Genomic DNA, 11,727 nt, shown 5'->3' on the forward strand with positions numbered 1-11,727 from the left:
TATGTGAGTGTATGATTTTGCTAAGAGAAAAAAATGCCTTGTTTTATTTTGTATTTCTCTGATTTCTTGTAGGTTTGAATATTTACCTAATTGCATCTCTCTGATGTTGTTCGCTTGTTCAGCTCTTTTGTGTTGGTCTGTTTCTAGGAAAATGATTCTTTTGTTTACAGTTAGTTTAAGATGGTTACACTAAAGTTAGATTATTTATTACTTTCTGATACTCCTCTGTCCCCACCAAAATATGGACTTCAGTCTAAAGATACGCTTTTGAAATGCAACATTTTATCAATGAGCTTTAAAAGGGCTTAATAATGTTTGTACTCAAACAGAATAAACCACCTGAAATACTTCCTTAAGAAAATCCCCAGAGGTCCTTAAGAAGAGAGAGATCTTCAAGAAGTAAAGCTTGAGATAATACACGAGCAGCTCAAACTACTTACAAAAAATAGTGGGGCAATCTTACATCATTTATTTAAAATAATTAGGTATTGATAGACATGAAAATCTAAATGCAAGATTCCTTAGCATCTCATACTTACCAGTTTCTTTTCCTTCCATGAAAACTGCACTTTCTTTCAAATGAAAGCACAGAGGGAGAAAATGGAAAGTCTGGGGGAACAGCCAATGACCGGTGAGTGTGTTGAAAGTTCTAGGATTTGCTGCCTCCTGTGTTTGACTCATCCATTACATACCTCTTGCCCTGGTGTATTAATCTGTCTGCAAGGAGCAGAAACCAATTCTAGCAAAAAAGCAGGGAAAAGAGAGAAAGGAGAAGATGTGTTGGTTGAGTATGGAGTTATCTCAGGACTCCAAGTTGAGGATGAAGCTTGGCCCCAGGGGGACAGTCAGGGATGGGGGTCCTCAGGAATGCCTCTTTTCTCTCAGTCTCTGTCTCCACTCCTCTCCCAATGCCAACTTTATTCTTTTGCTTAAGATCTTTCAGTCATGGATCCAAAATTCCTAGGAAAGGAGCTAATTGGCCTAGCTTAGCAGAGGAAGCTACCCACATCCCAGTTAACTACAGCTGTGAGGTCAGGAATTCCACAGTATGGAGACATGGTATTTCCTACTACACTTATTTGGGTGGTGTGTGAGTAGGTAGAGGCAGTTTCTAGAAAAAGGATGCTGAACAAAAAATTAAGCAGCATGCTTACTATGCTTGCTACCCTATTCTCCTTTGTACCAGCTACCTGCAACCTTAGCTCTGCTGGACCTCTTAAGGTGCTCTAACTTGTCCATTCCTCCAATAAGCTACATATTTGCACTTCAAACAACATGCACATGATATGCAATCTTCTTTTTGTACGTTTATGTTCATGTACAAACAACGTATTGTAAATGCCTATGTGTTTATCATATATGTGTATAGAGAGAAAGAAGTATTTCTTCAATTATGTTTATGAGAAGTTTCTAGGGAAAAAAGTAATGTTCTCTGGTCGGATAAGTTCTAGAAGCACTGAGCTAAACAAAGATATACAATTTCTTTATAGCATGACTTCTCAGGTTTAGTGGGCTAATGGGTACTACATATTCATGAGAGAGAGACCATTAGATTTTCCCTAAACTTATTTGAATATATGTATATATGTGAGTGTATGTATATATATTTTTTAATTTGAGGAATATTTGTAAATATATTGGTTATTATGTAGAATGCAATTTGGGAAATGTTGGCTTGGGTTTGAAGATAAGCATAAATTTCCCTTTGAAAAAGTAAGAGACAAGTAGATTGTATGCAAAAAGACATGAAAATGTGTTAGTATAAAAGCTCAGAGGGAGAGGCAAGTAGAAGAAATAAGCAACTTTGGAAAAAAAATTAGCCAGGGGACGACATGGGTTTTAGCCCTTCCATCTCCCACTGACTTTTCAAGACCTCCAGTAACCGATGGACTCTGCTTCCTCTAGTGTAAAATGTAAGATTAAGACATTTTCTTTTTGGAACACCAACTGTATTTTTCATGGTGTTTGTATTGATTTATGAAATACTGTGCCTCAGAATTTAGCACTCTTTGGAGTATGTTTCTATATAAGTTTAAGATCCAAATCTAGTTCAGAAACAGCAATAGGTCTAGCCACTCTCTTTAACTAAAATTATTGTATCATTATAACTGGTAACCAGATTGTCAACATTTTAATTTCTCTTTTCTTTTTTTTCCCTGTACCAGATTCTTCCTTCTAAATCAAAAGCAGTGTTATTTTTTTTTAAATTAAAGCTAACATTCCATGAGGCCAGCTGACAATGATGTATAGAACTTTTAGATATCTTTTTGTTTGTTTGTTTTTGAGACAGAGTCTCGCTCTGTCATCCAGGCTGGAGTGCAGTGGCGCGATCTTGGCTCACTGCAAGCTCCGCCTCTCAGGTTCACGCCATTCTCCTGCCTCGGCCTCCCGAGTAGCTGGGACTACAGGTGCCCACCACCATGCCTGGCTAATTTTTTTTTTTGTATTTTTAGTAGAGACGGGGTTTCACTCTGTTAGCCAGGATGGTCTTGATCTCCTGACCTCGTGATCTGCCCGCCTCGGCCTCCCAAAGTGCTGAGATTACAGGTGTGAGCCACGCACCCAGCCAGAACTTTTAGATACTTTATCATACCTTAAAAGAGTTTGACTAAGATTGTTTGGTGAGGACAAAACAATTATCCATCCAACCACCATTTATCATGCCCTTTCTGTGAGCCTGGCTCTGTTTTAGATGCTCAGGCTGTGACAGTGAACAAGACAAAGCCAAGCCCTGCCCCATGGGTCTTCCATTTGAGTGTGCGTGCGTGCATATGTGAGTGTATATGCATGCGTGTGCATGTGTGTATGTGGACTGAGTACAATAAATATATAACAATGTCAAATAGATAAGTGCTAAGAAGAAAAATAAAGCAGGCTAAAGGGATAAAGAATGATTGAAGGTGCTGTGTTAGAGAGGGTGGTCAGGGAAGTTCTCTTTGTTCAGATATCTCAGCAGACACTTGGACTAAGGGAGTGCTTCACGAAGCTTTGTAAAGGAAGAGAGTTCCATCTGGAAAGGCAAGTGCTAATGCCCTGGGGTGTTCATGTGCTGGGTGTGTTGCAGGAGCAACAGGGAGGCCATAGTGGCTGGTGTCCAGTGATGAAAGGGAAGGGAGAGATGGCAGAGGAGTCAGAGCTGTAGTGGGGGTGAGAGTGTGTGTGCGTGTGTGTGAGTGTGTGTGTGTGTACATGGAGGGGGAAGGGGACCAGACAACAAAAGGCCTTGTTGGCTATAGGAATAATTTTTTATTTTATTCTAAGTGTGATGGGATAAAATAACCAGAATACAAAACAGCAGGAACAACATCATCTACGTTCTTTTATTACTCTTTCATCTCAATCATTGTAGCCAAAAAATTCTTACGTGAAAGGAAATGAAACATTTGCACTATCTGGCAATCACTTTGAGAGAAGGGACACAAGGAAATAGCAGTACTGCATGTGGGAGAGCCATGATGAATAGGCCCTTTTTAAATGGGAAGGGCACCACTGCTGCTTTGGGGTTCATTTGTTGTCTATAAATATCACTGTTAATACAACCCATTAACTTGGTGACTGGGTGAAGAAAGGCAAGTAGCACCAGGTTGGAACTGCCTGCTGGTGAGTCAGAATGCTCTGTTCCTACTTGTACGCCTTAGGTGAATGGAAAGCTATTTGTAGGTAGAGGCATGCTGGCACAAGCTGGGAAGACGCATAAATCAAGTGACACTCAAGGCTTACTTGTGTCAGAAGCAGAGAGAGCTTTTACTGTACCCTCAGAAATCCACTTAAGATATAAAGAGATTAGGTCAGAGGAAGTAAACAGTCCTCTATCTTCCTTGTAATACACCTATTAGGTGGATTTCAAGCAGGTTGCTCTGGCCTGACTCCTGGGAACATCTTTTTTAATGGCATTTAGAAATGTAACAGATTTCAGGTGCCAGGGCCTGACAAAGTGGCTCCCCAGTTGCTCTGAACTTGGTAGCTTTAAATTCTAAGTCTGGCTTTATCCCCCGAGGACTCTACGCATGAGTGAGACCTATTATTTCCTCTCTTCTTTTTCACCATCTCAGGTGTTGGAACCGGAATAAACCTGCGTTCCAGTTCTAGCTCCAGAACTTGGTTGCCATGTGTCCTAATTAGCAAGTACATGATCTTTCCGTGCCTCAGTTTCCTCATTTATAAAATAGGGACAATAACACGTAGCTGTTGGGTGAGGATGTAAAGTGCCAGCGAAGAACCTGGCACTCAGAAAGCACTTGAGAAATGCAATATATCTTGGAGTGCAATCAAAAGGGATCTGAGCCTCCTGGAGCTATCACTTGATGATTAGTTGACTTGAGGGTCATTTTTACACATTGTTGGCATTCAAAAAATTGAAATTCAGCTATAAAATATATGTGGTCCCTATTTACGCTTCATCTAGATACTCTTCCACTCTTCCCTTTCCTACAATCCTGCCCAGTCACAGAAAGGGAGAGGAAGCAAGACTTAGTAACCACCTACTGCAGACAAGGCGTTTTACATTATCTTGTCTCACTTGATCTTCATAACATTTTTAAAACGTAAGTGTGTATTATTATCTTCACTTAATGATTAAGAAAATAGAGCTCTGAAAAGCAGAATTAAGAACCTAGCAACTGACAAAGTGGCCGAGATGGAGTATCAACCTAGGTCTGCTTGAATCCCAAACCTGAATTCCTTCCAGGACCCTGGGTGATCTACTGAGACCACACTACCATCAGCAAATAGAGTGCTGCACCAGAAGAATCTCCTGAACACAAAATAACAAGGGAAACTGGAGCCAGGTGAATTTTACCCTTCTGGCCTAGTCTCTGCATCTCACTGGACTATGTGAATAATTAATGTCCCCGAAATGGGGCCAGTCCTTTTGTGAATAGTTGAGTATAAATCTATCCTTAGGCAACATGAAGCAAGGATACTTCTGGCCTATTTTTAAAAATCAGCTCCCCTGCTTGACAACCAGTCCTAGGGTCTTATAGCCCTTATAGATGTCCTCATTTTGAGCCTCAGTCCCCATCATGGGGGGGCCACCATCACTCTTATAATAGCTCTACCCAGATGTGAAGACAGATCTTCAATCCCACCATAGGCTTCTCTTTTATGGAATGACTAACCTTTAGGTTCCTTTAGGTTTCTCATATGACCTATTTCCTTGGCCTTTTAATACTTTTCACAACTGTTTTCTGGACACTTTCCAAACTTTCTGCCACTTGCCGAAGTTACTGAGTCAAAAAGGAGACATGAATTCTAATAGAGCTCTGAGAAAAGCTGAATTTAAAGGACTTCCCCGGCCCACATCTCACATGCTTGCCTCCCGCTTCCACACCCCCGGGGTGTGCTCCGTGTCTATGCTGCAGCACTAAAGGATCAAGTCATTTTCCCCGTGGCAAAGAAATGCCAACTTTGAAAAAAAAAGCAAAAGACAAAAAACAATAAATTAGGAAGCCGGGGCTTCTGACAGTATCTGATAGAGCTACTGTTGCTACTATTGTAATGAACAATCCTAATATATACGCTTTTTAGTTCTAAGAAGGAACATACATAAAAATGAGTATGTTTTCCACTAGCATCAAGAGCTCACAAAGGATACCAAGGAAATGGATCAATTAAATGCCCCTTATTAATACTCTTGGCCTAAGAAAAGGAAAATCCTTAGTTAATAAACAACTGGGAAGATACTCATAGCAGGCAAGCAGATAAGATTAAAAAAATCTTTACAGCACAAACTGTTTCAAAGTTTTAAGTACCAAGATTTGGTCTGTCTTTATAACTTTTGGGGAATTTAAAAGGAATTACTTGGAATAAAGAAAGAAGCAGCTGTTGCTTTTAAAAATACTTGCTCACATATATCTAGCCACAGGAAAACATGTTCATAATTTGACGTTTGAAGTTTCAGTATTTGATTTGGTTAATTATTTTGAGAGTTATCATTTCATTAAATGTGTTTCAATTCAGTTTGAGGATTAGAAGAGCTTTCAGAATTCTTACATGTGATGTCTTTGTTGCATCTTTGATCAGTATTTTTTTTCCCTTGAAAATATATTTTCTGGTTTTAAAGAGTCAATGAAAAAAATGAATGATTCAGTTTGCAGAAATTTCGGATCTAACAAATCGATCAAAACAACCAGACAAATCTGGCTACAAATCCTGTCTCCCACACTGGCAAACAATGGTACGTTGAGAAAGTGATTTAACTCTCTGTGCCTTAAGTTTCTGTGATAACTAATATATATGCAGGTCTTAATATGGGCTTGGAATGTGATCACAGCTTAGAAAACATTTGTGTCCCTTACATCCTTGTCAACTTCTATTTGTTCAGTTAATTTGAATTCTAATCCAGTCCTTCAAAGTATTAGTTATCTCACCATTTTAACAATCTCATCATTGATAAAAGCATTTAAAATGTCATTTAAATTAACAAACCTTTTGAAAGTCCAACTGAAATGCTGCTTATAAAAGCAAATTATTTTCTGGCTTTTGTTTTTCTGACTTTACCTGGAAAAAGTCTTCATTATTTCTTCATGAACCTTACTAGCTTGTAACATTTCCACTCCTTGTAACGTTTAGGTGTGCCATATGTCTATGTTTTTTGTCACCCAGCATGCCATAATTTTCATCTGTGACATAAGCATTCCCCTATCACATGTGCACCCCTTGCTGCCCTGTGGTTCCAGGATAGTTATGGTTGTTTTTGATAAGAACTTCTATTTTCCTGACTTTATTTACCCATAACATTTTTTTCCTCTCATACAGCTTTTTTTCCTCCCTACAATTTTCTTTCTTTTTTTTTTTTTTTTTGAGACAGAGTCTCGCTCTGTCGCCCAGGCTGGAGTGCAGTGGCGCGATCTCGACTCACTGCAAGCTCTGCCTCCCAGGTTCATGCCATTCTCCTGCCTCAGCCTTCTGAGTAGCTGGGACTACAGGCGCCCGCCACCACGCCCGGCTAATTTTTTTTGTATTTTTAGTAGAGACGGGGTCTCACTGTGTTAGCCAGGGTGGTCTCGATCTCCTGACCTCGTGATCCGCCTGCCTCGTCCTCCCAAAGTGCTGGGATTACAGGCGTGAGCCACCACACCTGGCTCCAATTTTCTTAAGCCAACTTAAAAATTAGGAAACATTGGTATTAAGTTTCTGACTTAAAAAATTGGGGGAGTGGGCAAATAATACCAATTTTCAATTTTTCTCTACTAATGGGGAGAGACGAAAGTTACCACACTCTGTGGTAAACTCTTAGTTTGGTGACCCCCAATGAACCACAGCTGTTGGAGTTCTTACCCTTGTGTAGTCCCCTCCCACATGGACTCTGGGCTTGATCATGGAGCCATCTTTGGCCAATGGGACATTTGGCAAGTATGATGCAAGGAGAGGCCTGATAAGTGATTTCATATTGAGGCTTGTTTTCTTGGAATATTTGCTCTTGGGAACTTGTGGCCATCTTGTCAGAAAACCCAAACAGCCACATAGATGGATCTATGTGGAGGAGGAGAGAGGTCCCTGGCCAACAGTCCTAGTTGAGGTCCAGCTGACAATACAAGCTTGCCAGTCTTGCAAGGAAACAATCTTGAAAGTGCATCCTCCATCCTCAGTTGAGCTGCCTCAGCTGATACTATGTGGAACAGAGACAAACTGTCCCTGCTGAACCTTGACCAAACTGCAGAACTGTGAGCAAATAAATGATTGTTGTTATTTTAAGCCACTATGTTTTAGGATGGTTTGTATGTGGCTGTAGACAATGGAAGCATAAAATCACTCTCATTCCTGATCTTAAGTGCACAATCAAGAGAAACTGGCAGCAAATTGACAGTACTATGTTGATGCCAGATCAATATAATTCTCCCCCACCTAAGGCATAATTAGGTTGAGAACAAGGAGGGGTCTGAAGCTCAGATGAGCATCAAATGGCACTTTTCTAGTAGGAAAAGTTTTAATTATTTCATTCCTCCTTTTCTTCTTCCTCCTCCTCCTTCTCTCCCTTCCCTTTCTTCCTTTTTGACACATACTCATCAAGCACTTGCAGTCAAGAAGACAAACGCTAGCTCTGACAGAGCTTGTTTATCTTCCTACCATTGTTATTCTTTACCAGATGTCATAATCTGTGATAGATTGAAGTGTGACTTCCTCTCTTGTCCATTACACAATGCTAAATTGTTGAAAAATGACCAAAAGATGGTTAGCCAAGTAGGAGGAACAACTGGGACATTAGCTCATCTTCAAAGAATGACTGATACAGATGAAAGAAGAGATGAGATTATATGTGCTGCATTCATACTTACCTGGTTAATTCTTCCCAACACATATTATCTAAGGGTAGAAGAGCTCTGCACCCTTTTTTTCTTTAGTGGGTGGTGTGTCTCTCAACAGGTGTCAAAACTCCAGACTTTCCTGTAGAATGTTTCCTGGCTCCCCCTTGCTGGAGGGCATGGTTCTTTTCAGCACTCATCAGATTTATGAAGCCTCTGCATGTGCTGCATCCTCCTCGCTGTGTGAAAGAGACCGTAGATTTTAGAAACTGGGGCTAAGTCTGTTTCTCCCTGCTAAGGAAAAAATCAAATGGGCAGTAGGCTTCTGGTTCCTCTTATGCTAGCAGCTGACAAGAAGACAAGTTTCAGAAATCCTGCAAAGGAAGGAAAAAGTGGAGGAGATTTGTTGTAATATACTTTGTTTACTCCAAAGCAGAGGAATCACTGGTCATTTCATCAGGCAATTGAAGATGAGATGTTTTCCTTTTTAATCTGTAGAGAGATAGTGCAATGTAATAGTTGTAAGAATAGGCACTGGGGTCAGACTGCTTTGGTTCTTAGTGATCTTCTGCATTTACTAATCCAATGACCTTAGTCAAGTTGTTTAATATCACTTGATTGTCCAGATTTATAAAATGAAGAAAATAATAGGAACCACCTTAGGAATTATTGGAAAGAGCAAATGTGCATAATAAATGAGCAATAAATATTAACTATTAGTTTTAGCTAGTCTGTCTTCAGAAACTTAGCATTTTCCTTCCACTCATTGAATGTATTCTTAATTCTGCAAAACAGGAAGGATTATTTTAACTATTCTATGGACAAGCTGTTTTGGACGTATTCTATTTTAGTTTTCTCACAAGAAATGTAGCTGCAAATTTGAAACCTCTAGCTTCAGAAAAACTTTATTTAATCTAAAAATATTATAAAGCTCTATCTCATGAGCCTTTTCATTTGTAAGCATTTAAATAATCTGTGTAGTCAAGATTTTAAAGTAATACATATCCCTCACAACTCATTACAGTATATAATGTAATACTGTATACAGTATATAAGTAAGATTTGTGAAGTAGCTTTAAGTCATCTCTGCCTGTGGAAAGTTTTTGATCACGTATTCTTTTTGAAAAAGACCATTCACTATGGAGAATTAGGACCCTATTATATGTTCAATCTTCAAAGAAGTTCTATGTTAGGACTTTTATTGTCAGGTCAGCCAAGTTCATCCATATGCACACGCTTTTATTCAATAGAACTTCACAAATACTACATTTCCTTTTTCTTTCTTTTTTTTTCTTGTAGTGAGAACATTGAACATGAGATCTAGCCTCCTAACAAAGTTTTAAGTCTACAATACAGTACTGTTAACTAAAGGCACAATGTTGTACAGCAGCTCTCTAGAACCTGCTCATCTTGCATCACTGAAACCTTATACCCGTTGAATAGCAACTCCCCATTTTCCCCTCCCTTCAATCCCTGGCAACCAACATTCTACCCTCTGCTTTCGTCAGCTTGTCTGTTGTCTTAGTTCAGTTTCTGTTACTTAGAATACCTGAAACTGGGTAATTCATAAAGGAAAGGAATGTATTTCTTATAGTTACACAGGCCAAGAAGTCCAAGGTCAAGGGGCTACATCTGGTGAGGGCCTTCTTGCTGGCAAGGACTCTTCTGCAGAGGTAGTGCAGGGTATTACATGGTGAGGGGGCTGAGTGTGCTAGCTCAGGCCTCTCTTCTTATAAAGCCACCAGTCCCACCCCCATGATAACCTATTAATACGTGAATGAATTAATACATTCATAAGGGCAGGGCCCTCATGACTCAGTCACCTCTTAAGGAATCAATCTCTCAATATTGCTGTATTGGGGATTAAGTTTCAACATGAGTTTTGAAGGGAACAAATAATCGGACCATAGCAGTTCTTTTAAATATCAAGTGTAAGTTAAATTATACAGTATTTCACTTAGCATAATGTTTCTCTAGGTTCATCTATGTTGTTGCATATTGCAGGAGTTCATTCTTTTTAAAGGCTGAATAATATTCCATAATATATATATATATACCACATTTTCTTTATCCATTCATCTATCAGTGGACACCTGTGTTGCTTCCACCTTTTGGCTACTGTGAATAATGCTGCAAGGAACGTGGGAGTACAAATATCTCTTTGAGATCCTACTTTCAATTCTTTTGGGTATATACCCAGAAGTGGGATTGCTAAAACATATGGTAGTTCTATTTTCAATTTTTTAAGGACCCTTCTTTCTGCTTTCCCTAGTGGTTGTACCATTTACACTCCTACCAACAATGCAGAAGAATTCCAGTTTCTTTACATTCTCACCAGCGTGTGTTATCTTCTTTTCTCTAATAGACATCCTAACACTCTAATGAGGTGATGTCTCATTGCGGTTTTGATTTCCATATCCCTCATGATTAATGATGTTGAGCATCTTTTGTTTGCTTGTTTGTTTTTTGAGATGGAGTCTTGCTCTTGTTGCCCAGGCTGGAGTGCAGTGGCACGATCTTGGCTCACTGCAACCTCCACCTCGCAGATTCTAGTGATTCTCTTGCTTCAGCCTCCTGAGTAAATGGGACTACAGATGTCTGCCACCACGCCCGGCTAATTTTTGTATTTTTAGTAGAGATGGGGTTTCACCATGTTGGCCAGCCTGGTCTCGAACTCCTGACCTCAGGTGATCCACCCGCCTCGGCCTCCCAAAGTGCTGGGATTACAGGCATGAGCCACTGCGCCCAGTCAAGCATCTTTTTATATAACTGTTGACCATTTGCATGTCTTCTTTGGAGAATGTCTATTCAAGTCTTTTGCCCATTTTTAGTAGGGTTATTTGTTATTATTTTATTTTATTTTTTGCTATTCAGTTGTAGAAATTCCTTATACACTTTGGATATTACAGTAATCCCTTATCAGATATATGGTTTGCAAATATTTTCTCCTATTCTGTAGTTTGTCTTTTCATTCTGTTTCATTTGCTACGTGAAAGCTTTCCTTGCCTCTCCTTTCCTATTCCCTCTCTTCCTTCCTTTTCTCCTTTTCCTCCTCCTCCTTTTCACTCTTTCTCTCACTATTTCTCTCTCTCTCACTGAGACTTGCATCATTTTCCTCCTGATATACTTGAGACTGCTGAGTTAGGTTTTGTGTGTGTGACCTAGAACAAGTGGCAATGAAAGACATCTAGGTAATCTATAAACTTTACCTTGTGAAATGGGAGCTTGTCCCCTTCTACTCTCCATTCAAACAATGTTGTAAGGGCTGGGGTGGAACTTTCTGAGTGTCTTCCATCCCCCTTTCTTTTGGTCATTGATGTTATGGCCCGTCATTGATCTGGTTTACTTGGTTAACTTAGTCGATCATAAAACTGTTTGGAAGGCCTCATGCCCATTAGGATGGCTAGCCTAAAAACATAAAATAACAAGTGTTGGCAAGGATGTGAAAAAATTGGAACCCTTGTGTACCGTTTATTGGTAGGAT

The sequence above is a fragment of the Homo sapiens genome, chromosome 14, assembly GCF_000001405.40.
Source record: "Homo sapiens chromosome 14, GRCh38.p14 Primary Assembly".
NCBI classification, from domain to species: Eukaryota; Metazoa; Chordata; class Mammalia; order Primates; family Hominidae; genus Homo; species Homo sapiens.